We start from the raw sequence: 27,688 nt of genomic DNA, 5'->3' as shown, positions 1-27,688 counted from the left end.
ATTTGGAAAACATTCCGATCAGAAGGTGCTTGTCCTCTAGATGCCCTCGGAAAAGGAAAGAATCTGGGACAGGGATTTGGGAGTGGCGGTCCCAGGTCTCAGAGTGGGGCTTCCCTGAGGGAACTGGGGGAAAACTCGGGTGCTTTAGAGCATCGTTACTACCATCCTCATCAGTTTCATCCCAGTCAATTCACTCACCACTTAACCGATGTTCGGGCAGAGACTCCACACCTCACCCCCTCCTCTGCGGATGCCTGCGTTCCTTCCAGGTGACTGATGTGGTTGCATTCCTGCCTGATTTGATCCTCCTGTACAAGGCAAGAATTGTGATTCACACTCAAGCAAGACCGTAGCTTTGAGATGATGGGTGACTTTTAAATAGCAAATCAGGACTGGAACCTGGTGTTCTGATGCCAAATCCAATACTCTTCCATTACAACATACCTCCTCTTTGTGGAATTTCTTTGAGAAAAAACTACCAAGCCACTCTTTTGGGGTTCACCTGCAAGATGGCCAGATAGCCTACTATGACACCTCCTTTCTCTAGGGAACTCCAAGGCTCCGTTTCCCAGTGATTCTTGGAAAGTCAGGCAGGTCATCCATAAACAGAGAAATGGAGGCCCAGGGAGGTTGAACAGCTTGCCCTGGGCCACACAGTGAGTGAGTTAGAGCCCAGTTCAGGATTGGAATCCAACTCTAGAGGGTCAGATCTCATGGGCCATTTCCCAAAGCTTAAGTCATGGGAGATGGGAGAGGCTTAGTGCTGAGGTTCAGCCATTCTCAGCCAAGCCCAGCCCAAGCCCAGGCAGCATCCTCCTCCCTGGCTCTCAGGGCCTCCTCCTGGTTACGGGTTAGCCCCTCTGTTTCCTGTGTCTACCCTTTGTTTCAGGCTGGCCCCAGTATTCCATATACCTCATTGGCAGATGTCCCCCTTAACTTCTCTGGGACTTGGTTTCTCCCTTTACAGAGAGAAACTCATTCCCCTTTATAGAGGTTTGTTGAAATCCATAAAAAATGACAGCTAGATAGGAGGAATATATTCTAGTCTTCTATAGCACTGTAGAATGTCTATAGTTAACAGTAATATATAGTTTCAAATAGCTGGAAGGATAGTGAATGTTCCTGACAGAAAGAAATGATCACTGTTTGAGATGATGGATACACTAATTACCCTGATCTGATCACTATACATTATATGTGTGGAAACATCACCATGGACCCCAGGAATATGTACAATTATTATTTGCCAATTAAAACATTTTGTTTTAGGCTGGGCATGGTGGCTCATGCCTATAATCCCAGCACTTTGGGAGGTCAAGGTGGGTAGATCACTTGAGTCCAGGAATTTGAGACCAGCCTGGGCAACATAGCAAAACTCCATCTCTACTAAAAATACAAAAGATTAGCCAGGCATGGTAGCACACACCTGGAGTCCCAGCTACTCAGGAGGCTGAAGTGGGAGGATCACTGGAGGCCAAGAGGTAGAGGTTGCAAGTGAGCCAAGATCATGCCACTGCCCTCCAGCCTGGGTAACAGAGCAAGACCCAGTCTCAAAACAAGATAAATTGTTTTAATACAAAAAAAATAAAGACCAGGGAGACCTCAAATGAGAAGGACTTTGGAGGCAACAGGCATGAGAAACATATGATAGGAGAGAGCTGCTTCAATAGGGTCAGGTTTGAATATTGGCTACTCCACCTACTGTCTCTACAGCCACTGAAAAGTTGCTTTTCTCTTCTGCAGAGTGGGGCTAGTCATAATGATGATATCTGGCTGGCAGCCATTGGGAGGATCTCCTTTAGTACTCAAAATAGGGAAGATAAACCATCCCTATTTGCCCAGGTTTGAGAGGTTTCTTGGGATATGAGACTTTCAGTACTAAATCCAACAAAGTCCCAAGCAAATAGGGATGAATTGGTCACTTTGCCTTAAAACAACCCATGTTTTTGATGGGTCAACTATGAATGAGAATTTACAGTGGGGCTATGATAGCTTGGTTTATTTTTTGGTTTTATACACACACACACACACACACACACACACACACACACACACACACACACACCCTTTCCTGCTATCCTTGCACCGTGGTGTTGGCCTTGGCCGTGTGATGTGCTTTGGCTGATGGAATGTTAGCAACCACACCAGGAGTACTAGCTGCCAGGTACTTGTGCACTTTGGCTTGGTTTGGGCTCCTGTGGTCACCTGAAGAAGTGTGTGTCCCAGGTTACAACAGGCCCTTCAGTCTTGGCTTGAGAAAAAACATGAGTCGACTAGGGCCCGAATGTGCTAGACTGTGTTAATCACCTCCCTGCGCTGCCCCCCACCAACCAAGGAATCACACGGACCTCAATTCATGGCCCTTTGCAGTGTGACGTTGCCACTTGTGTCATCAAGAGCGGGAGTCTATTTCTCTACCATCCCACACCTGGGGGCTGCCTTGTGGCTTGCTTTGGCCAATAGAATGTGGCAGAAGCAAAGGGTGTGGGTTCTGGAGCCTAACCCTTGAGAGATCTTGCATGTTGGACTCCCACCCTTTTGGAACCCTGGGTCCACCATATTGTGAGGAAGTCTGTTTAGCTTGCTTGAGAAGAAGCCACGTGGAAGAGAATGGAAGAGCCCCAGTGGGTAACCAGCACCAAACTGCTGCACAGGTGAGGTTGTCTTGGACCCTACCCACATGAGCGAACCCAGGCAAGATCAGCAGATCAGCCCAGGCAACCCAAAGAATCATGAGAAAGAAATCGTAATTGTTGTTTAAGGTACTAAGTTTTGGGGTAGTTATACAGCAGTAGATAATGGATACCAACCCATGGCTTGGGATCCAAGCTCCGTCAATAGGCATACTCAAGCTAAGCTGCACATTGAGTCCATTGTAGATCACAGAACCACAGTCAGCCTTGCAGGACTGCAAATGCAGGATGAAATATCCCTTGTTTTAAGCCACTGAGTGTTCCAGTCATTTGTTTGCAACAGTCTTGTGTCAACAGCTGATTGACACGAGGGATTCAACCCTAGGAACGCCTGACTCCAAAGCCTGTTCTTAGCCTCATCACAATACCGTGCTGTTGTCCCTTAGGCCATGAAACATCTAAGACATATTGATCTCAGTTCCCAACTATTAATACATTCCCAGGCTGTTCAGAAGTGCCCAGAAACCCTTTGTCAAACATGGGTGCCATCATTGTAGAGCCTTCCAGATTGTTAGAAAAAGAAAGGAGTGGGGATTATGTGCTGAAAGAGATGGACAAGGAGCTATTTTGTAAACTCTATAACATTTGGCAAAGAATATATCCTTAAATACAAATTAAAATAGCTTAGGTCATACCTAGGAGTGCCGAGGCAGAGAGAGAACACTGGAGGAGCAGGGAGGAAAATATAGAAAAACATGTTCGTGACTTCAGGGTAGGGAAGTTGCAGACTCCATATAACATAAATATATTTTTATGAAGTTCAGAAATAAAGCTAAGCATGTTATTTGGGGACATGTACATATGTATTAAAACCACAGTGAAAATAAAGGGAGTAATAAAATTCAGCGTGTTTGTTGTTCTGGGGAGAAGAGAGAAGGGCAACTGAGGCCGGGTGTGGTGGCTCACAGCTGTAATCCCAGCACTGAGGTCAGGAGTTTGAGACCAGCCTGGCCCATCTGTACTAAAAAATAAAAAGATTAGCCAGGCATGGTGGCACGCACCTGTAGTCTCAGCTACTCGGGAGGCTAAGGCAGGAGAATTGCTTGAACCTGGGAGGCGGAGGTTGCAGTGCACCAAGATCGTGCCACTGCACTCCAGCCTGGGCAACAAAGCGAGACTCCATCTCAAAAAAAAAAAAGAAGAAGAAGAAGAAGGGCAACCTGAAGGACTGCATAAAGAAAGTCAGAGTGGCCAGGTGCAGTGGCTTGTGCCTATAATCACAGTACTTTGGGAGGCCGAGGCGAGAGGATCATGAGGTCAGGAGATTGAGACCATCCTGGCTAACATGGTGAAACCCCATCTCTACTAAAAATACAAAAAAATTGGCCGGGCGTGGTGGCAGGCGCCTGTAGTCCCAGGTACTCGGGAAGCTGAGGCAGGAGAATGGCGTGAACCCGGGAGGTGGAACTTGCAGTCAGCTGAGATCGCGCCACTGCACTCCAGCCTGGGTTACTGAGCAAGACTCCGTCTCAAAAAAAAAAAGAAAAAGAAAGTCAGAGTGAGGCATGGATCATCTTCTAGATCTTCAGTTGGGTGGTAGAGTCCAGGTTTTCATTTTACCATTTTATATAAGGGTAGCATCCTCATGGGTGGGGTATACTGTGATGCTTAGGTGTGTGGACGCTGAGTCTGAATCCTAGTTTGCCACTCATTAGAGTCTTACACATGCAACTTAACCTCTCAGTGCCTCAGTTTCCTCATCTGTAAAACAGGTGTTGATGGCAACAGTACCTACCTCGTAGAGTTATTAGGAGGAAGTGCTTGAAACCGAGCCTGTGAGTTACATGTTATTAAATATATAGCCACCATTATACAATAAAATTGATTGAGTCGGGAGAGGAGACTCATCTGTGCTCCTTCATTAACTCAACACTGATTATGTATCTGCTCTCATCGGGCATAGGTGCTCACATGCCAGGAGAAATAAGCTGGTGATTTATGTGGCACAGCACCATCGATCGACCTACAAAGGAAGCTTCAGTGCAGCCGTGTTGCTATACAGACCTCTCTCACCAAGGCGTCATGAACTGAAGGGCTGGGAGAGGCCTCGTGGAGGAGGAAGAGTTTCGCTCAGCTGCTTGGGTGTGGGACTGAATGTGGTTCCAGAACTGGTCGCTGCCTTCACCCGCTGACTCTGGTCTCGGCGATGACAGTGAGTTCCTTCTTGGCGCCTTCAATGGGAGGGATTGTCGTGCACTTGGGGAGGAGTTGGCTGTGGAGTTCAATCATTAATTTGCCACAATTAAACCAGAGACTTCTGTCTCCAGCAGCAGATAAGCAAGCAGAGAGCTAACAACGAGGAAGGGCGGGGCGGTCTGACAAACCGGTTGTGAAGGGCAGGCTAGGCTGATTGAGAGCTGATAGGGGACTGTCATTGCTTTATTGTGGCAATAACGCCGTCAGGCATCTGGGGAATTAGGAGGGAAAGCCTCAGCTGGCATTGGCTGCAGGCACAAAGGGGGAAAACCCCAGCCAGACTTTTTCAGTCTGCTGGGCCACCAGAAAATGTTTTGGGGTCCCCGAGGTACGTGTGAGGCTGAGAGTTGGTGATCAGCTCCCCCGGTTCCTTCCTGGCTGGGCTACATGAACCGGGGACAGCTGGAGTGTTGAGTTTTGACATTCCCAAAGACAAGCAGCTAAAGTCAAGAGGACTGTGTCACACAGAGATGGTGATCAGGGGAATGGAGTCCCTCGGAGGCAGGGAAGGAGGCAGGCAGCCTTAGGTTAGACTCCAGGAAGAACTGTCTCCTGAAGCAGTGATAATTGGAACAGGCAACATCTGTGTGCTTGCTCTGTGCCCAGTGCTAGGTGCTTTCCATGAATTCACTAATTCCTGAAACCCACAGGTAGGTCCTTTTATTGCCCCTCTACAGAGACGAGAAAAACTGGGTCTTGCTGAAATTAAACATCTTGCCCAAGGTAACGTAGCTCCGAAGTAGCAGAGACAGGAATTGAAATTGCAGAGCTTCCTCTCGAAGCCTCTAGATGCTAGCCTACGTCTTCAAAGATGCCCATCAATCAGAGATGTAGGACAGTCTTATCTCTGGAATCTTCCTTGGTCTTCTTGTTCTGGCATTGATCAGCTGGTGTGTCATACACACACACACAGGCACACACGTACACACACACATTATATATATGCATACATGCCATGCATACACATCACATACAGGTACAAGCACACGCATATGCACAAACATTGCACATCACACACATCTACACACACATTACATACATGCACATGCACATCACATACACGCACACACTACAGATATAATCCCTCCCCAACTCCTCCACAGCCCCCCACCACAAACCTTTAAGGTACTGACATGACTGTAACAGAGTCATTGACCCTCAGTGGATTCTCCACCCCTGGACAACTGTGGAAAGACCAGTGGCATTCCTGGGAGTACTTTGACGGTTGTACAGGGCCCAGCAACTCTTGGCTGCCACAGCCCCCTGAAAAACAATGGCCTTGAAGTTGTCCACCCTCACTGCGCTGGGCTACACTCATTGGGTCATGCTTCATTTTTGCAGAAGGCCCTTCTGTGAGTACTTTAAATTCCTGAAAAAGCTCATTACATTTTGCCATGGTCCTGAGATGGTGACTGGGGACTGTCCCTGCTCTCATTGACTTGACTGAATTGAGGTCCAGATTAAGCCATAAAACAAAACCCAAAATGCAACCTCCCAAGCCCCCAACATGCCAAGACTGGCAGAAATTCTGAGACCAGGTAAAAGATGCTGCGCCCCCTCAAGTCTGTTCAATGATCAGGCGGGGACTAGGGAATGCTGGTTTGACTGGTGGGCTCCTCCCCTGCCTTCTCTGTTGGGGGTCGTGTTTGCTTTGTGTTCTTGGCCACAGGGTTAGCAGGAAGGAGATCACCAATGCATCGTTGCATGTGCTGTTCTTTGATTTTTCTCCATTCTTCACCCTGGAAGAAGGAGTGAATTTATGGACCTGTTATGGACTGACAGATGCCCTCTGCAGAATTAGAGGCAGCCTGGGATGGAGGTTGGGTTCTGAGACTTACATCTTGAGCAGGATTTCTCAGTCTCAGCACTGTGACATTTGAGGCTGGATCATTCTTTATTATTATTATTATTTTGAGACAGAGTCTTGCTCTGTTTCCCAGGCTGGAGTGCAATGGCTGGATCATGGCTCACTGCGACCTCCACCTCCTGGGTTCAAGCGATTCTCCTGTCTCCACCTCCCGAGTACCCGGGATTACAGGCGCCTGGCACCACACCCGGCTAATTTTGTAATTTTAGTAGAGATGGGGTTTCACCATGTTGATCAGGCGGGTCTTGAACTCCTGACTTCAGGTGATCCAGGTGATCCACCCATCTCGGCCTCCCAAAGTGCTGGGATTACAGGCATGAGCCACCACACCCGGCCTGGATCATTCTTTATTACAGGGTTTTGTCCTGTGCCTTGTAGCGTGGTGAGTAGCATCCTGGCCTCTACCAACTAAATGCCAGTACCACCCTGGCTTCCCAGTTGTGACCATGAAAAACCTCTCCAGACGTTGCCCAGTGTCTCCAGAGTAGGGGGAGGGGCAAAAGTGTGTGGGTTGAGGAGCACTCATAGAGACGACTTCAAAGTTTTGGAGCACGACTGACTTCCTGCCAACAGTCACTCTGCCCCTCAGTCCCTTTGCTTCTCTCTCCATCCTTGCCCTTCCCATCTGTTCAATGGGCACTTCGATGGCCATGAACTAAACCATTTACTCTGTGAGTCAGGAGGAAAGCAAAACCCCAGCCACATCTCACGCTGGAGAAACAGGACTTTCTTTCCTTTCCCCTCAAAGTTCTAGTTTTCCGCAAGGTCCCCAGATGGCCAGCTGAGAGCCTCTCGTCCACTCTGCAGGCGGGGACAAGCAAGCAACACAAACACCCTCTGTCCTTCCTCCAAAGGGAGAAAAGAGTTTTCCTCCCTCCCTCCATCCTTCCCCTCCCCTTTCAGAAACTCTTGGGTTGTGTTCACCGCCACCCCCGCCCCCGCAACCCGGCCCCACTCAGTCCGCTTACACTGCCGACCCCTCCCCAGCCATTCCCCGTTCACTTCCCTCCCCTTCCCCTGGTACACCTGACTTATTTATTTATTTATGGCTGGAGTATTTGAGCTCAGGGTTAGTTCGAGTCTATTAAGTTTGCTCCTTTTCCTGCCTGGGAACCCGGGTAATGAGTAACCATAGCGTGCTTTGGGCAGCTGTCTCCGACAAACCGAGAGACGCCGTGGGAGCCGCATAAGGGAGCGTTTGTTCTGTGCCTTCTCAATAGTTCCTTGTGCAGGAGGCAGGGTGATGGGAGGGAGGGAGGGAGAAGGGAAGAAAGAGACAGACACTAAATCACTGCACTTTTGACAATTCCTCTCTTCTCTCCCACCACCCATCCTCCCCCACCTACACCGATCAGATCTTTGTGGTGGACTTAAGACTTTAAGACTTTTGTTGCTGTTTCCATGAGCCTGGGGAGAGGCTCCTGTGTACCTCGTGGGGGTACTTTTGGGTGAGTTGCAGACTATATGGGGCCTGAGGGCTGATTTTTAACATGGGGATGGTTTAGGTGTCCTGGATCTCTCCCACTGTGTGTGTAAATTAACACAATGCCTATTGTTCCCTAGTTCATTTAATGATCCAATAAATCTCTAGGTATCTATTCCCAACCTTGTGGCCTAGATATGCTATAAAGCTGTTTGAAAAGTGCTTTCATAAAGCAGTCCAAGTGTATTACGGGATTAGTCATATGCCCCACAATCAACATGGGACTCGTTAGGGCCTTCCTTGATTTGTATCATTATGTAGACAAGAGAGACAGGCCAAGAAATATATTGTACATACGGCTTTTGGAAAATATCCTAAGTGATAGCCACATTCATTCATTCACTGCATGGGGATTTAGCATCCACTATGTGCCAGCTGTTTGGCTAGGTCTCAGGGGCAACTACGGAAATGAACAGGGCATGACTCTGGCTCTCAAATTTGCAATGGGGTAAGGAAAATAAGAAAGAACCCATGTCCCCGAATTACGGTAATATAAGTTAAGCTGGAATATGTGCCATAAGAAAGGTACAAGCAGAATATCTAGAGAGAGGGGAGGAGGGAAGATGAAAATATTTTGGGAGCATGAAAGAAAGCTTGGCTTCAGGAGAAAAAGATGAAGGGCAGCCCCTCCTCCAGGCAAAGGAAAGGTTTTAGCCAAGAAATGAAGGCAGGCAAGCATGGGGCATATTTGGGGAACAAGGAAGGGCTGGGTTGGTTGAGACATGGGCAGATGAATCACCATCCATGCTGTGTTTTAGACAGATTAATCAGGCTGTGGTGTGTAGGGTACATTTAAAGGGGAAGAGATTAGAGATGACAGTTAGAAGTAGATGCCACCGGTCTAGTTGGAAGAAAATGAGAAAAGACAGGATGGGTAAGATGGTGGAGTGTAGGATTGTGGAGGGAGGGGGTAGCAACTGACCACATGTCGAAGAGGGCACAGTGGAGGTAGCCCTGAGGCTTTAAGCCTGGGTGGCCAGGAAGAGAAATCTGGAAAAATAGCATGACACATCATCAGGAGGTCCAAGAATGGTTCAGAACTGAGTAGCAGGATCAGTGGTCTGGTTTGGATGTGCTAGATCTGAGAGGCACCGAGGGACAGATGTCTGAAAGCCAAGTGGCAACAGAGGTCTAGAGCTGGGGGGGATGTCAGGGGCGCTGTCTCTCCCTAGCATCCCCCTCTAACGCTGGCACGAGAGTGGAAACTCACCCTTGAAACGTGAGCTGGATCTCCTTCCTTTGCCCATCCAGATCTTGTCTCCATTTCACCCCTGATCTGTGCCCCAAGAGCTGCCCTTGTAGGGATTGCATCAGCAGGCTCCCTTGGCCACTGGATTCCAGCTGAGTTCAGCAAGTGGAGCGAATAGCAGAAGATTAGAGGGTGGAAGGAAAGTAGCCTCAGTTTCTGGCAGGCTGTCCTTTCTCCGCAGCTGCTGTCTCTGGGTTCTGGAAACATTCTGCTCTCCTTGCCCCGTCTGACTTCAGAGGGTGGGGGTCATGCCTTCCCACCACTGCTGGCCCCATGAACCTGCACTCTCCCTTGTTGGTTCCTTGAACTCTGCCCATCCCATAATACATCATCTCTGTCTTAAGCTCTTTTCAGTCCCCCAAAGTGGTTGTGCTGTTTGTATCCTGTTAGGACCCTGATTCATCCAAAAACTGGAGTCAAAAGTCACACAGGGCCGGGCACGGTGGCTCACGCCTGTAATCCCAGCCCTTTGGGAGGCCAAGGTAGGCAGATCACTTGAGGTCAGGAGTTCGAGACCAGCCTGGCCAACATGTTGAAACCTCAGCTCTACTAAAAATACACAAATTAGCTGGACGTGGTGGTGCATGCCTGTAGTCCCAGCTACTCAGGAGGCTGAGGCAGGAGAGTTGCTTCATCCTGGGAGGTGGAGGTTGCAGTTAGCCCAATCACGCCACTGCACTCCAGCCTGGGCAACAGAGTAAGACTCTGTCTCCAAAAAAAAAGACACACAGAACAAATCCTTTTTCTCTTCTTTTATGCATGGTATTTCTGCTCAAACAGAGGCCTTATAATAATGGAATGGACAAATAATTATTACAATTGAGAAAAGTTTCATCAACTGAAGCAGTTTGCAAATTTTCTAGGTTTCTTCTATCATTCAGATTATTAATGTACCAGTTGTTGATCTCTTTCTCTTTAACATTTCTGGAGTTTTCTCTGTCATCCTTTGTCGGCTTCTGACTTCCCCAGGGGACTTCACATCTTTCTTTTAGTGCTGAGGTGAGTTGCTCCAACTGAAGCTCCTCTTTTTGAGCGGCTTCCACCTTCGTTCCTCTGGCAGTGCAGAAGCAGGCCGTTTGCCCTGGTGAGCTACCTCCAATTGAACCATCATCATCTGAGCATCAGAGAATTCTGAGCAGGAAAATTGAGACTTGTTCCAATTTATTGAGACTTCTTCCAAAACTTAGGAAAATGTTTAGCCGGAAGATAGTCTGTAAGTATCTGTCTGTTTTAAAATACAGGCATGCACACCATGCCATGATAGCTTTCCCGTCTCAGTAGTTGCTGTGACTGTCTTTGTGTTTTGTTTTGTTTTGTTTTGTTTTGTTTTGAGACAGAGTCTTGCTCAGTTGCCCAGGCTGGAGTGCAGTGGCGTGATCTCGGCTCACTGCAAGCTCCGCCTCCCAGGTTCACGCCATTCTCCTGCCTCAGCCTCCTGAGTAGCTGGGACTACAGGGACCCGCTACCATGCCCAGCTAATTTTTTTTTTTTTATTTTTAGTAGAGATGGGGTTTCACCATGTTAGCCAGGATGGTCTCGATCTCCCGACCTCATGATCCACCCGCCTCAGCCTCCCAAAGTGCTGGGATTACAGGCGTGAGCCACCGCGCCCGGTCATGTTTTGTTTTTTGAGACTGAGTTTCACACTTGTCGGCCAGGCTGGAGTGCAATGGGGTGATCTCAGCTCGCTGCAACCTCTGCCTCCTGGGTTCAAGCAATTCTCCTGCCTCAGCCTCCCAAGTAGCTGGGATTACAGTCACCTGCCACCATGCCCAGTTATTTTTGTATTTTTAGTAGAGACAGGGTTTCACTATGTTGGCCAGTCTGACCTCAGGTGATCCACCTGCCTCGGCCTCCCAAAGTGCTGGGATTACAGGCGTGGGCCACTGTGCCCGGCCAGCTGTGACTGTCTTTATCATGACCTCTTAATGCATGGATTGGGAGCTGCAAGGAGTAGATCCCCAAGTGGGACTAGCATGGATCCCAAGGTATTTATTGGAAGGATTATGTCAAAACAAAGCAACAACAACAATCAAGAAAGAATGAAATATCAACCGGAAGGACAGAAAGAATATAGTCCATCTTCTGGGCATGTGTGGAATGAGTTTTCTCTGCACGGAGCTTTCTTCTCTCTCTTTACAGATCTGCTTTCTTCATTTGGGAGGAAACATGAGCACCCTCTTGCCCTTGACTTTTACATCTTGCAGCTTTCACTGAGGGCGAGCTTCCCTTATTCGGTTCTAGTCAGCCAAATCTCAAGGCAGGACTCTGATTGGATTAGCTAAAGTCAGATGCCCATCCTTGGACCCGTCAACTGTAGCCAAGGGGAGGAAGAAGGCCATGCACCAACAGAGCTGCTCCTGCCAGAACCGTGGGACGAGGTGGGAAGCGTTGTTCTCAAAGGAGGAGCGGGTACCAGGCGGAATAATTTGCATTATAGGTATTCTAAAGCAGCAATTAGTTTTAGAAACAAACTTATCACATAAAGAGACTCTCAGCTCAACAAACACTATTTGATATATTCACAATTTAATAGAAGCTCTCAGTTCAATAAACAAATATATGAACTGAGTAACTGCAGTGTTGATGTAGGAACAAATCATTATTTTCTGATTGTTGATGGACATGATAAGCAGAGTCTACTACTGAGATGGGAAAGCCATCATGGCACAGTGTGCATGCCTGTATTTTAAAACAGACTGACACAGACTATCTTCCAGCTAAACATTTTCTTAAGTTTTGGAAGAAGTCTCAGTATACTGGAAAAGGTCCAATTCTCCTGCTCAGAATTCTCTTCTGTACAGTGCTGGGTGCATAGTATACATCAGAGAAATCTGCTTCTAAAGGTGATAAATAATAGGTGTGTTAAATTAGTAAATTATATTATCTACTGGAAGTTGATAAGTGCTACTGAAAAAGAAAAGGAAAGCAGAGTTGAGACAATCTCCAGTGCTGGAGGGAGGCATGGCCATTGGGTTGCAATTTTAAATAGAGGCTGAGAGCTCTTTAAAAAGGAGACATTTGGGGCCGGGCATGGTGGCTCACACCTGTAATCCCAGCACTTTGGGAGGCTGAGGTAGGTGGATCACGAGGTCAAGAGATCGAGACCATCCTGGCCAATATGGTGAAACCCTGTCTCTACTAAAAATACAAAAATTAGCTGGGTGTGGCGGCCATGCATCTATAGTCCCAGCTACTTGGGAGGCTGAGGCAGGAGAATCACTTGAACCCGGGAGGCAGAGGTTGCAGTGAGCTGAGATTGTGCCACTGCACTACAGCCTGGTGACGGAGTGAGACTGTGTGTCAAACAAGCAAGCAAGCAAACAAACAAACAAAAAAAGGAGACATTTGGCCAGGCACAGGGGTTCAAGCAGCATTTTGGGAGGTCAAAGCGGGAGGATTGCTTGAGGCCAGGAGTTCAAGACAAGCCTAGGCAACATAACGAGACCCTCATCTCTACAAAAAATTTAAAAATTAGCCAGGCGTGGTGATGCATGCCTGTAGAACCGACCACCTAGGAGACTGAGGCGGGAGGATCCCTTGAGACCAGGAGATTGAGGCTCTGGTGAGCTATGATAGCATCACTGCACTTCACAGCCTGGGCAACAGAGCAAGACCCTGTCTCAAAAAATAAAAAAAGAGAGGGGGGACATTTGAGCAAAGATTGGAGGACATGACATTTCCTCTGTTCTTATTGCATACTTCTGCTGCTTAGTTTAGTACCCCATTAAAAGTAACGTTTGGGTTGGAAATAAATACTATTTAGTAATGACTTGACCCATTATTTCTTGCTTCTAATTTGTGGCCATTAAAAGAAATGTAAACCCTTCAAGGACACAAAGAGAGAGATTTCCATGCTTCATATATTCCGGTTGAGCCAAGTCAAGTCATAGATTTTAGAACAGCAAAGAATGTTGCCCCACCCTTTCGTTTTATAGGTGAATTGTGAATGCCTGGCCAAAAGCCACATGGTGAGCTAGAAATGCAGTGGTGATTAATATGAAATCAAATGCATCCACAGAAATGCACTTCAACAGAGTGACTCAAATGGCCAAGAATGGAGAACAGACAGTCCCTTCTTATTTCCCTGGCTTATATTAAAAATTTCTAGATCTCACCATTTGCCATTAAATATTACATTCCAACTGTTTTTGATGATATTGGTAGTATTGCATTGCTATATTGGGAAACATTAAAATGACAGTGTTTTTCAAATGTGCCTTTATTCACAAGGTTCATTTGGAATGCCAGCATAAGACTAGGCCATCACTCAGAGAGTGTTTCTCCTCATTACTTACGAGCGGCTTGCTCTTCTCCCTTCTCCCTTTAACTATTTGTCTCTACTTGTATCATGTTACTGGTCTTTATTATAATTTGTAGAGATGTGTTTTTGCTGAGGGCACCTCCTATCATTTTTTTTTGAGATGGAGTCTCGCTGTGTCTCCCAGGCTGGAGTGCAGTGGCATGACCTCAGCTCACTGCAACCACCGCCTCCCAGGTTCACACGATTCTCCTGCCTCAGCCTCCTGAATACCTGGGAGTACAGGTGCATGCCACCATGCCCCGCCAATTTTTGTATTTTTAGTAGAGACAGGGTTTCACCATGTTGGCCAGGCTGGTCTTGAACTCCTGACCTCAAGTGATCTGCCTGCCTCAGCCTCCCAAAGTGCTGGGATTGCAGGTATGAGCCACTGTGCCTGGCCTCATTTTCTTAAATAACAGCTTTATTGAGATATTATTCACATTCCATGAAGTTCACCCTTTAAAATGTACAACTCAGAAAAGTCATACATTGATCACCACTGTCTAATTCCAGAATATTTTCAGCACCCCCAAAAGATACCCCATAACCATAAGCAGACATTTCTCATTCCTTGCATGCCTCAGCCCCTGGCAACCATTGATCTATTTCTGTCTTTAGAGATGTGCCTATTCTGGACATTTCATATAAATGGAATCATACAGTTAGTGGCTTCTGTGTCTGGCTTCAAGGTGCATCTATGTTGCAGCATGTATTAGTATTTCATTCTTTTTCATGGCTGAATAATATTCCATTTTACGGATATATCAATTTATTCATTCATCTGTTGATGAACATTTGAGTCATTTCTACTTTTGGGCTATTATGGTTAATGCTGCTATGAATATTTGTGTACAAGTTTAGTATAGACATACGTTTTCAGTTCTCTTGACTACATACCTAGGAATGAAATTCCTGGGTCTTATGGTAACTCTATATTTAATCATCTGAGGATCACCAGGCTGTTTTCCAAAGTGGCTGCAGCATTTTACATTTCCACCAGCAGAGGATGAGGGTTCCAATTTCTCCATGTGCTCGCCAACATTTGTTCTTATCATGTCATCTTCAAATAGAGATAATTTTGCTTCCTTTTTTTTTTTTTTTTTCCAATCTGGATGACTTTCTTTTTGCCTAATTGCTCTGGCTAGAACCTCCACTACAATGTTGAATAAAAGTGGTAAGAGTGGACATACTTGTCTTATTCCTGACAAGAAACCATTCAGTCTTTCACCCTTAAGTATGATGTTAATTGTAGGTTTTTCATAGATGCCCTATGTCAAGTTGAGGAAATCCCCTTCTATTTCTAGTTTGTTGAGTGTTTTATAATGAAAATGTGTTGAATTTTGCTAAATGTGTTTTCTGTGTCAATGGAGATGATCATGTGATTTTTGTCCTTTGTTCAGTTAATATGGTGTGTCACATTGATTTTTCTATGTTAAACCATCTTTGCATTCCTGAGATAAATTTCACTTGGTCATGGTGTCTGCTCTTTTTATATGTTGCTGGATTTAGTTTGACAATATTTTGTTGATGATTTTTGCATCTACTCATAAGGAATATTGGTCTGTGTTTTTCTTTTCTTGTGGTGTCTTTGTCTTGTTTTAGTATCAAGGTAATAATACTGGCCTCATAGTATGAATTGGGAAGTTGTCCCTCCTCTTCTATTTTTTTGGAAGAGCTTGTAAGGGATTAGAGTTAATTCCTCTTTAAATGTTTGGTAGCATTCATCCACGAAGCCATCTGGTCCTAGGCTCTGCTTCATGTGGTTTGGTTTTGTTTTAACTAATTCAGTCTCTTTTTACTTGTTATGGGTCTGTTTAGATATTCTATTTCTTCTTGACTCAAATACTTTTTGAAAATAGGTAGGTTAAAAGTCAACTTGTCAAAGTAATTAAAGAGTTGTTCTTTTCATTTGAAATGATTGCTGTTGGTAGTGTTGAACTTCCACTGTGGTTTTGAGTGTTAAAACCGTGGAATGAGAGCCCCCTGCACTTCAGGGCCTGGCGTGATGCTCCTCATTAATGTCATGCTAGAAAGCTCACTGTCTATCTCTGAATCCCAGTTTCCTCATCTGCAAAATGGGCTTAATCACATCATCCTTAAAGGTTGTCAAGGGGATCAGGTGAGACATCCATCTCATGCCTAGCATATAGTAGACCCTCAATAATGATGATCTGTTTTCTCTAGCAATATATATCTGATACTCACCCACTAGGCGCTGGGGACCCTTCTAGGGACTAAGGATACAGTGAGCAAAAGCAGAGACCCTGGTGGTTACATTCTAATGGAGGAGAGATCAAAATAAACAAACACATAGAAAGGGTCTAAGGAAGTCTTTGCCTGATTTTTAAGCCAACAGAGACATGGGCACAGCAGTCAGGCAGGTGCAGCTCCCATGTGTGATTTTTAATGATCAGAGCTAGGCTGGAGAACCTGATTGTCCTGGGACCAGGTGGGCTTGCCTGAGCTCTCAGTTCCCCCTTTCAGTTTAGCTCTAGGGACAGTCTTCTGAGGCCAAGTTAGGATCTATAGAGCAAGACTAGCAGGACTACTTCTGAGACTCAGTGTCCAGGCCTTACAGACTTTAGATAAATTAGCAGCTGACTCCAGAAACCTGGGCCCATGGCTCTTGCCCACCAGTCAGTGGCTTGTTCTGAGGACAAGGTGGAGAAAGTGGCCAGGAGCATGACTCTGTTGGGGGCTTTTCCTGTGCTCAGTGGAGGCCTCTTCCCCTATTCAGTGGGGGCTCTTATAATCAGTGGGGGCTCTTATAATCAGTGGGTGGCTCTTCCTATACTTAGTGAGGTTCTTCCCCTTTTCGGTGGGGGCCTCTTCCCCTATTCAGTGGAGATCTCTTCTCATACTTGGTGGCGGGGGTGGGGATGCGGGTTCTTCCCATAGTCAGTGGGGGGCTCTTCCCATGGTCAGTGGGGGGCTCTTCCCAAAGTCAATGGGGGGCTCTTCCCATAGTCAGTGGGGGGCTCTTCCCATGGTCAGTGGGGGGCTCTTCCCAAAGTCAATGGGGGCCTCTTCCCATAGTCAGTGGGGGGCTCTTTCCATGGTCAGTGGGGGGCTCTTCCCAAAGCCAATGGGAGGCTCTTCCCATAGTGGGGGGCTCTTCCCATATTCACTGGGGGGCTCTTCCCACAGTCAGTGGAGGGGGGCTCTTCTCATATTAACTAGGGGGGCTCTTCCCATATTCACTGCGGGGCTCTTCCCATGGTCAGTGGGAGGGCTCTTCTCATATTAACTGGGGGAGACTCTTTCCATTCAGTGGGGGGCTCTTCCCATGGTCAGTGGGGGGCTCGTCTCATAATCAAAGGGGGGCTTTTCCCATATTCACTGGGGGGCTCTTCCCATGGCCAGTGGGGGGCTCTTCCCATAGTCAGTGGGAGGGGTCTTCTCATATTAACTGGGGAGGCTCTTCCCATTCAGTGGGGGGGCTCTTCTCATAATCAAAGGGGGGCTCTTCCCATGGTCAGTGAGGGGTCCCTCCCCTCTTCAGTGGGGGTTTCTTTCTCTTTTCAGTGGAGATCTCTTCCTATACTCAGTGGGGGCTCTTCTCTTGTTTCTCCTGTATCCCAGTTCACAGGGCACTGTGTTAGAAGGTGACAGGGAAGTGGGAGGCACCTTTTACGGCATGGTGGGAGAAGGCTCTTCTAGGGAGGTGACACTGGGCAGAGAACCAAGTGGTAGGAGTGAGCCAGACATGCAAAGCTCCTGGGCACAGGAGGGTGTCCCAGGCAGAAGTGATGCCTCATTGGTACATTTGAGAAGCAGTAATGGTCTTATGGTCTTTTCTGCCTCCTTTACTCCCTCCCTGTGTCTTTTTTTTTTTTTTTTTTTTGAGACGGAGTCTTACTCTGTCACCCAGGCTGGAGTGCAGTGGTGCGATCCCAGCTCACTGCAACCTCAGCCTCCCGGGCCCAAGAGATTCTCCTGCCTCAGCCTCCCGAGTAGCTGGAATTACAGGCACCCACCACCACACATGGCTAATTTTTGTATTTTTAGTAAAGATGAGGTTTCACCATGTTGGCCAGGCTGGTTTTGAACTCCTGACCTCAAGTGATCCACCTGCCTCAGCCTCCCAAAGTGCTGGGATTACAGGGGTGAGCCACCCCGCCCGGCCTCTCCCTGTGTCTTTTTACTCAACCTTTCTAAATCTCATGCAGACTCCGTCTTCCTCAGAGCCCGCTGGTGTTGGGAGAAACAAAACAACCTGTGCTTTCCAGCCTGTGGCTCCTTAGAGACAAAATCTCTTAGTCAGGTATGGAGCCCCGAGTCCTTGAGCTCCACTGCCGGTTGTCCAAGACAAAAAGCTTTAGAGGCATCAAAGACCACTTCTTTGCTGAGATGGATCAGAATTGGCCTGAAAACCTGTTTGCCTTTCCAGAGAGTTTTCTTTTTGGTTTATTTAGTGGCTAGCGGCAGTCTCTCCAAGGGAAACCACTGGATTTATTAATGAGAAAATGAAGGCTTGTGTTTAAGCCTCGTCTCTGGTAAGTTGCGTGATGCGGAGGGGCAGATGTTTACAGTGGCTCCCCGAGGGTGCAGGCCTCGCCCTGGCAGGTGGCTGGGTTTCTGCCATGCTACGGTCCTATGCTCACCTGCCATGTCCTCTGAGGTCATCGGATGTGGCTTAACCTCAGCTTTCAAGGACAGAAGGCAACTCTTCTAGCACCGGCCATGACCCTGACATTTCCTGCTTCCCGGAACCGTCTGTGCTTCTCTACCAGAAGAGCTCTCTACCCAGGGACATGTCAGCCAGGTGGAGGGGTCAGGCAGTGATCTGCAGGGCGAGAGGGTTAGTCCCTGGGATACCCATCAGGTCCTATTCCTGGGTAATCTGACTAAAGTCTTATTTTCTTCGGATGCAAAATCTCACCTGGGCTAGGACAGATTAGCTTGAAGATCTGTGGAGGTGCAGCTTCTGGCACCAGAACTTTAGATGCTGGATGAATATTGACAGGGACTTAGTATGGAGGGAGGTGTGTTATCTTTAGTGCTGGGCTTAGGAACTGGGCTCACTAAAGTGAGGGCTTCAGCAACAAATTGGGCTGGTCATCTCTGTAGGACATCTCCTGCAGGGTGGCTGATTTCTGTCAAAAGCTCAGTGGCTGATTCCTCTCCCCAGGGAGACCCGCAGTAGGGCCCCATAAGCAGGTTTTGGCTTCCTGGCTTAGTTGATTTAGAACAGGTCTATTAGGTTGAACTGAATGACATGTCCTACCTTCTTTGGATAGCCTGGGCTGCTGATAGGCCCACTGTCAGGCAGGCTACCCTAGGTCTTGGTGGTTGCTGCTGCCTCGCTGTGTGACCTTGGGTGAGTTGCTTTCCCTCTCTGGGCTTCACTTTCTACCTCTGTAAAATGAAGGGTTGGATAGATTTCTTAAGAATGTGCCTTTCACTTCTAGGCTGAAGGATCAGATCCTTATTATCTCTCCCTGCCCTGGGCCTGACACCTAGAAGCCTCTCAATAAACCTTTCATTGAATGAGTGAATGAATAAATGAATAACAATGTGATGGTTTGTTATTTTTTTCATCAGCTGTGTTTTTTCTACAGAGCCCATGGAACAGACTTACGGCGTATGACCTCATCGGAGACTTGTACATGGGGCCAACCCCCATTTTCCCACAGGAAACCCACACTCTAATTAAGGGCTGACCCTGAACTTGAATCTGAGTCTTCTCTTTCTTCAACAGAGAGCCATCTCTCCAGCCCAGCTGGCAAGGAGACAGGTGATGTTACAGGAAAAAATACACAGCTTGTGCCCTTGGAATTACCAGAGTTCAAAGCCTGTTCAGCATCTACCCACCATGTGACCCGGGTCGAATTCTTCAGTTTCTCTAAGCCCATTTTCTCATCTGTAAGATGGGGAAGTGTAATCAGTTCTGAACCCACATATACCTCACTGGGCTTGAACAGGCCTGAGCAGGCATGTGGGGCTTTACTAGCTAGCCATCCTTTCTGCCGCTCTCCCTCATTCTCCTTCAAGCCCCCCAAAGTCCTTGGTGGAGGAGGAAGTGGAGACAGAACGTTTGGTGTTGGGTGAGGTACGTGAGGAGGCTGATTTCAGAACCTCCAGGAAACAAAGCTTTAGTGTTCCGAGGGCAGTGCCCGCCTGTGCCTCCTCCTCACAGGGGGTAGTAGGAGTGGGGTGGGGCCGAGGCATTTCCCAGCACAGCTCAATCACATCTCCTGCGCCTGCCCTTGTGACCTGCTCACTGGAAAGGAAGAAATGACCGAGGGAGAAGGGAGGGCATTTGAGGTGAGTGCCTGAACTGATGTCTTGGAGAATATTTGCATGACAAAGCTTCTTGCAAAATCTGGGTAGGACTTCCAGTTAACCCCCTGGAGGAGGCTTGGGGAAGTTGTGCTCTGAACCCACACACACCAGGTCGCCTTTCTGTGTTGCCCTATTTGGTTTCGCTAGTTCTGCCACAGGGAGAAGGTGTGTTCTGGATGGGTCCCCTCCCTCTGTCACCTGGTGCTGGCACTTCTGGGTGTCTGGGTCTTTCTGAAGCCATTTCATTCACGTTTCCCCTGGATGTGAGACTGTGTTGTGTTTGTTCTGACTGTCCTCTTGTAGAAGAGACGGTAGCTTTGCTTTTCTCTCCATCATACCCCTGGAATGCACTTCTTTGCCACACTCCAGCCTTTGACTCAGTCACCTCCACATCACCCTTTCACCAAACTTCTCTGTCTGCTTTTAAAGCCAAAGTCAACTTGACTAGACCCTTTGCTGACACTGCCATTTGCTGAACTAGCTTTGAATTCCAGTTATTCCAAGGCACAAACTGTGGATTTTCCTTTTCTTTTTTTCTTTTTTTGATACAGGGTCTATCTTTGTCATCCAGGCTGGAGTGCAGTGGCACAATCACGGCTCACTGCAGCCTTGACCTCCTGGGCCCAAGCAATCCTCCCACCTCAGCCTCCCAAGTAGCTGGGACTACAGGCACATGCCACCATGCCCAGCTAATTTTTATATTTTTTTGGTAGACACGGGGTTTCGCCATGTTACCCAGCTTGGCCTCAAATGCCTGGGCTCAAGCGATCTGCCCACCTTCGCCTCCCAAAGTGCTGGGATTACAGGCGTGAGCCACCACGTCTGGCCAGATTTTCCTTTAACATCACCTGCCTCTCCGTCACTTATATGGGTGTGATGGATGTGTATGTACCAGTGTCGGATGATCTAGTTTTGATCAGTTTCATAAGTTACCCCTTCTTCAAGAAGCCTCTTTTCCCTCTAATATAGCATAGGTTTATGTCTTCCCTTGTTCTTACCACACTCCGCAATAATTTAATTTAGTTGTTTACTTATTTATTCCATCTCCCCACAAAAAAGAGACTTTGACTCTCACCTTTGATATTATATCCCCAGTGCCTAGCACAGTACCTGGAGCTTACCAGATGCTAAATAGATGTTTGTTGAACAAATGAATGAATGGTCACCACTGTTCAATCTAGAGACAGAAAGCTACCAATTCACATTCTTCATAGCACCTCTAGGACAGACACTATCCTTTTTATATCACAGACCATCAAGAGTATTGACTGGTAGAATGATGTTGGCACGTAGGTGCAGGCTAATTAATTCCACCGGCTTGGGCGGCTTGCTGTAATACCAAGCTTTTGGTTAGGACTTTGTGGGTGAGCCGTCTGGAAATTGATTCAGCACAGTTTGGGGAAGGAATCCGTTTGTCCACATTCAAGAGCACTATTTACCTGCATTTGCTTTGTTGGCAATTTAACATTATCAGTCAAATTAAACCAGCCAATGTTGACTGAGCCCCTGTTAAAAGGATTAAAAACAAAAAAAAAAGCAAGCAAGAAAGCATATGTGATATACTCCTTGATCCCAGAACACTTAAAATTAATGGGAGGAGCCAGAAATGTACACATCTTAACAACCACTGGTGAAAGACAGTATATCTCAATGTCAGATGAATGGAGTACATGATAATGTAAGGGAAGTTCTGAGAAGACAGCCATCGCGGGGGTGGGTTGGGAAGGAAGGTCATCCCAGGAGTCTGAAGTACCTGCCTGGCACAAGGCAGGGCACACAAGAGGCACTCTGCAAGGACAAGCCCAGCAAAGTCCGAAAAGCATTTCTGGCAGATGGGATGGTGTGAGCAACGGTGGTGGTGGTGGGGTCATCACAGTGTGAGGTTGTAGGACCTGCACCAGGCTGGGAAGAATGGAATAATGGAAATATTAGACATTTGAAAGCCATGAGTCACAAACACTCAGAAGGGTGAAGGGGATGGAGCAAAAGAATACAGAATGTGTCTAAGCTTGGAACCCTGATGTCTGGGAGACTTAGAAAAATCACAGGCCTCAGCAAAGAATCCAGCAGGAAAAAAAAATGATTTGTGATTGGTATCTTATTTTGGATTCTTCTCGAGGCAGAGAAACGTTTGTGTGTAACTGGATTTGTGAGTTTATCTTTGGAAGAACAAAGAGAGAGAATTGGGAGGGAGAAAAGTCAATAAAGGGTGGCGAATGAGAGGTTATGCTGTGGGCATACAGGGCTGAATCTCACTGGGGACCCTCCAAGCAACTCAATAAAATAAACTTCAGAAGTGCCAAATCAGGCCAGGTGCAGTGGCTCACACCTGTAATCCCAGCACTTTGGGAGGCTGAGCCGGGAGGATCCCCTGAAGCCAGAAGTTAGAGACTAACCTGGGCAACATAGCAAGACCTCATCTCTACAAGACAAATTTTGAAGTTAGCTAAGTGTGGTGGCATGTGCCTGTAGTCCCTAGTCCCACTACTTGGGAGGCTGAGGTGGGAGGATCACTTGAGCCCAGAAATTCAAGGTTTCAGTGAGCTAAGATTGTACCACTGCACTCCAGCCTGGGTGATGGGTGACAGAGACCCTGTCTCAAAACAAAAACAAAAACAAAAACAAAAACAAAAACAAAAAAAACCAAAATTGCCCAATCGAAGGATGAAAAAGATGGAATATTTATCTAATGACTCCCTTCCTTGAGGGTTGTCCTTAGACAGGGTAAACCCCTGGCACTTCTGAGATGCTTCTGCAAGGAACTAAACAAGGCCAAAGAACAGCAAGAAAAATAAAAGAAAGAAAAAAACAAGAGTCACAGGTGGCTGAGGCAGGAGGTGGCCACTTGCTGGAATTGTCCACTGTGGCTGCAGGGCAATTTGGTAGCAAGGGGCCATTGGGTGGGGCATCATCAGTGGGTAGTTATAGATGCTTGTTCTTAGACAGCCTGGGTTTCAGCTGGTGTAGACATGTCTGATGGGCAGTCAGGAAAGCAGACCTGGAATCGAGCCAACCACTTCGTTGGCAGGATTGGGTATGAGAGGGAGCAAGGTACTGAAGAAAGGAGACCTGGGGACAGCTCAGGACTGGAGCCTGGGATGCATCCTATAGGTAGGGGGCGGGAAGGGAGCATAGTCAGTGGGCAGAGACCTCGTGCCTGGCACACAATGGCAAAAGCCATGGGAAAAGGGGATTTTGGGAAAAGAAACTGCAGAGAACAAAACTAAGAAGGCTAGAACCAGCACCCTGGATTCGGTGGTTAGTGGTTAGCAGGTTTCTGGGACCCTAGAGAAGAGACTGGTTTTTTTGTTTGTTTGTTTTTGTTTTCATTTTTGTTTTGACATGGAGGCTCACGCTGTCGCCCAGGTTGGAGTGCAATGGTGCGATCTCGGCTCACTGCAACCTCCGCCTCCCGGGTTTAAGCGATTCTCCTGCCTCAGCCTCCCAAGTAGCTGGGACTACAGACATGCACCACCATGTCTGGCTAATTTTCATATTTTTAGTAGAGACAGGGTTTCATCATGTTGGCCAGGCTGGTCTCGAACTCCTGACCTCAAGTGATCCACCCTCTTCGTCCTCCCAAAGTGCTGGGATTACAGGCGTGAGCCACTGCGCCCAGCTGAGAGGACACTTTTAATGGCATGGTAGAGGTAAGTAAGAGTTAGAATGTAGGGACTCAAGAGATGAGATGTCCCCTGGAGGCAAAGAAGGATGAGTCCATTTGATGAAGCCAGGAGGAAGGAAGGAGGAAGATGGCGGAAAGGGCTGCGTGACCCTGTGCAAGTTACTCTGAGCCTCTGCTGTCTTATCTGTAACACAGCAATAATCATCTTTCCTATCTCTTAGGGTTTCAGTGAGCATTATAGGTTTATAAGTGCTTAGCACAGAGCTGAACATTTAGTAAGTGCTCAATGAATGCTTTTTATCATTTATTATTGAGGGGAGAAGAAGAGGATGGAGAAAAAAACTGGATCATCTCGTGACATGGAAAGAAAGGTCTGAGCTCTGACGATCCCCTCACGTGATTATAGGCATGAGGACTCACTCTTCGAATTGTTTGAAAATTGAATGGACTGGCTCACACCTTCTGAAATTTCTTGGAAGCTCTGGAGTAACTATTCCACTAAAGAACAGCGTGTTTTTGGCTGAAATCTGTGACTGTTTGTTTTTGAGTTATTTTAATCTCTGTGTCAAGCATGAAAACCTCAGCAGCCTGGGATTTATAATTAGATCCCACTGGCATGCCCTCTCACCTCTCAAACATGCCACAGTGCTTTGGCTCTCTCCTTGTGCAAACCTCCCTTTGATATTTTTGGATATCGATACCAAGTGTATCTGCATATTTTAACCAACTGATATGCATATCCTGTGATCTGAGGCATTCGCTCAATGTGGGGCATCAGGCCAGCTGTGAACTTCCTTTAAAATTTATTTTGTGTCAAATGATTCCCTAATGCTATAGCTCCCTTGAACTGCTAGATTTATGAAAATTCTGCACAACACATAGCTCAGAGAAAAAAAAAAAAGAGTGTTGCAAGACCAGATATAGGATATCATTTGATTTGTTTAAAACACTCTGTCCAGGGGGTTTTGACTTGCTAATTTAAAAATAATTCTAAAATTAGGTACAGTTGACCCTTAGTATCCATGGGGGATTGGTTCCAGGATGCCCTGTGGATACCAGAATCCAAGGATGCTCAAGTTCCTGACATAAATGGCTTAGTGTTTGCATATAACCTACTCCCCTCTTCCTATATACTTTAAATAATCTCTAGATTACTTATAATGCCTAACACAACGCCTGTGCATCACTTCATTCATGTGGATTCAATGTAGTACTTGGTGTGAAGAAAATTTAAGTCTTGCTTTTTGGAACTTTGTGGATTTTTTTTTCTGGAATGTTTTTGATCTGCAGTTGGTTGAATCCACAGGTGCAGAACTATGGACACAGGGGGCTGACTATGTATATTTATATCCACTTGCAAAATTAAGAATAAAAATAATGTGCATCAGCAGGTGCAGATTCTGATGCTCGGTGGACAGTATGAAGTCTTCCATTTTTAATGAAGTCTCAGGCGATGCTGCTGTTGCAGTCCTGTCCAATAGAATGTTCTGTGATGGTGGAAAGATTCTCTATCGGCTCTATCCAATACCTAAGCCACACCTTTCACACATGGGGGAGTGGGATGGGCAATGGAAGAGCCCAGGCAGGGTAGGGAGGGGGCAGAAGGAAGGACAGCAGCACAGGTAGGCTTACTAAGATCCCTAACATTTATTTAGTGCCTGTAATGGGCAAGGCAGTGTGCTGGGTGCTTTACACCTGTTCAGCCACATTCTTACATCAGCTTGTGCAGAGCATTTACTCTTCCTGGAACAATCCTCGGTGCAGCGGGTACAACAATGTAAAAAGATCCAGTCCTTGCTGCTGGGAAATTTATAGACACGTTAACTGAAACTGTGGAGTAGGATGAAGTTTCTGAGAGAGGAGTCTGCATTTTTACCCTGGCCTTTCTATTTCGTCTGCAACATTAAGCAAGGTGCTTCATTGCTCTCAGTTTCGATTTCTTTGTTTCTAAAATAGAGTTAATCATAGTACCTACTGTTGGCTTCTTGGGAGATTATATGATGAGATACATTGTAAAGGTTCAGGACAGTGTCTGGCACCCAGCAAGCTCTCTGAAAAGACCAGCACCTATGATGGTATTGGTCCTACCCGTGAAGACAAGTGTATGCTGGCACCAAGAACTCTGATCCAAGTGCCATAGTTAATTTCAAAATACCTAATAAGCCTCAACTATGTGCAATACTTTAAATGGTGGAGACGGGAGGATCGTGACAAAGGGGAATAAAATGGAAGACCTCAAGAAACTTACTTTAGAAAGGGACTCAGAGTGCTTGGTGGTTTAATGGAGTTCTCTCAGTTACTGGGGATCTGGGAAGTCTTCATGGAAGAGGTGGTGTGTGAGCTGCCCCCAAAAAGCAGATAGAGGAAGAGTACAAAACTCCATAAGCAGAGGCAAAGGGCCTTCTGGATAGAGGAGGCTCTGGAAGCCACAGTGAGGACTAGAGGAATTGAGGTCTTTTTGGAAATATTAAATATTCCAGTTTTCCTGGAGCACAGGACAGGGGTTGTTGGGGAGCACAGGAGAAAAGATTGAAAAAGTAGATTAAGGTTAGGCTGCAGAAGGCATTGATGCCAGGCTGTTGAGTTTATATGTGAATTTGTGGGCAACGAGGGGCTTCTGAAGTTATTTTTCCTCCGCAATTTTCATTTATTTTCACCTGAAATGTAATATGCTCATTTTAAATTTAATTGTAAATGTAGAGGTCTATGAATAGTTAAAAACTCTTGAAGAAGACAAAGTGAGAGAAGTTCCAAATAAGGTGTAAGAAATGAATGGGCTTTGCCTGGCAGCTCACGCCTGTAATCCCAGCACTTTGGGAGGCCAAGGTGGGCAGATCACCTGAGGTCAGGAGTTCCAGACCAGCCTGGCCAACACAGCAAAACCCCATCTCTACTAAAAATATAAATATTAGCCAGGCACAGTGGCACACGTCTGTAGTCCCAGCTACTCGGGAGGCTGAGGCAGGAGAATCCCTTGAGCCTGGGAGGCAGAGGTTTCAGTGAGCCAAGATCATGGCACTGCACTCCAGCCTGGGGGACAGAGCGAGATTCTATCTTAAAAAAAAAAAAAAAGTATTAGAATTAAGACACCATGATAATGGTACAGAGTTAGAAAAACTGACCAGTGGAACAGAATAGAGAGCCATGAATCTACTCAAAAAAGGAGAAAATTTGATACACGAGAGAGGGTTGATATTGCAATTATTTTTATCACCATATATATGCATATTTATATTAAATACATATGTAACTTTTAAAATAACATCTCAATTTTAGAATAGATTTACAGAGCCATTGCAAAAATAGTACAGAGAGTTCCCATATACCCACTGATATGGTTTGGCTGTGTCCCCACCCAAATCTCATCTTGAACTGTAGCTCCCATAATTCCCACGTGTTGTGGGAGTGACCCAGTAGGAGATAATTGAATCATGGGGGTGGTTTCCCCCATACTGTCCTCCTGGTAGTGAATAAGTCTCTGATGGTTTTGTAAGGGGTTTTCTCTTCCGCTTGGCTCTCATTTTTTCTTGCTGCCACCATGTAAGACGTGACCTTGCTCCTCCTTTGCCTTCCACCATGATTGTGAGGCCTCCCCAGCCACATGGAACTGTGAGTCCATTAAACCTCCTTTTCTTTATAAATTACCCAGTCTTGGGTATGTCTTTATCAGCAGCGTGAGAACAAACTAATACAACCACACTCAATTTCCCTTATTATTACATCTTACATTAACATGGCACATTTGTAACAATTATGAATCAATATTGGTACATTACTATTGACTAAAGTCCCACACTTTATCAGATTTCCTTAGTTTTACCTAATGTCCCTTTTCTGGTCCAGGATTCCATCCAGAAGACCACGTTCAGTCATCAAGCCTCAGCCTTCTCTGAGCTGTGACAGTTTCTCAGACTCTCCTGGGTTTTGGCGAACTTGACAGTTTTGAGGGTTATTGATGAGGTGTTTTGTAGACCATCTCTCAGTTGG

At 46.5% G+C, this 27,688-nt stretch overlaps 1 long non-coding RNA gene across 1 annotated transcript in view, besides 2 other annotated features; it reads left to right on the top strand.

Moving 5' to 3' along the window:
- LINC00511 (long intergenic non-protein coding RNA 511) overlaps positions 1-25,120 on the top strand; it is a 42,432-nt gene extending 17,312 nt beyond the window's left edge. The window contains exons 3-5 of the long non-coding RNA NR_033876.1: positions 4,597-4,845; positions 19,353-20,058; positions 24,017-25,120. This is a non-coding gene — a long non-coding RNA (long intergenic non-protein coding RNA 511). The remainder of the gene's footprint in view (positions 1-4,596; positions 4,846-19,352; positions 20,059-24,016) is intronic.
- Positions 19,357-20,324: an enhancer, noted in NCBI's record as "OCT4-H3K27ac-H3K4me1 hESC enhancer chr17:70598976-70599943 (GRCh37/hg19 assembly coordinates)". NCBI's record gives its function as "activates a minimal SCP1, AML or CMV promoter by ChIP-STARR-seq in primed H9 embryonic stem cells {active_cell/tissue: H9 hESC(primed)}" and the evidence as "EXISTENCE:reporter gene assay evidence [ECO:0000049][PMID:30033119]".
- Positions 25,559-25,608: an enhancer, noted in NCBI's record as "active region_12681". NCBI's record gives its function as "activates an Ori minimal core promoter by ATAC-STARR-seq in GM12878 lymphoblastoid cells {active_cell/tissue: GM12878}" and the evidence as "EXISTENCE:reporter gene assay evidence [ECO:0000049][PMID:35858748]".

The sequence above is a fragment of the Homo sapiens genome, chromosome 17 (assembly GCF_000001405.40).
Source record: "Homo sapiens chromosome 17, GRCh38.p14 Primary Assembly".
NCBI lineage: Eukaryota > Metazoa > Chordata > Mammalia > Primates > Hominidae > Homo > Homo sapiens.
The sequence above is the reverse complement of the archived record's forward strand: the minus strand, read 5'-3'. Positions and strand labels throughout refer to the sequence as shown.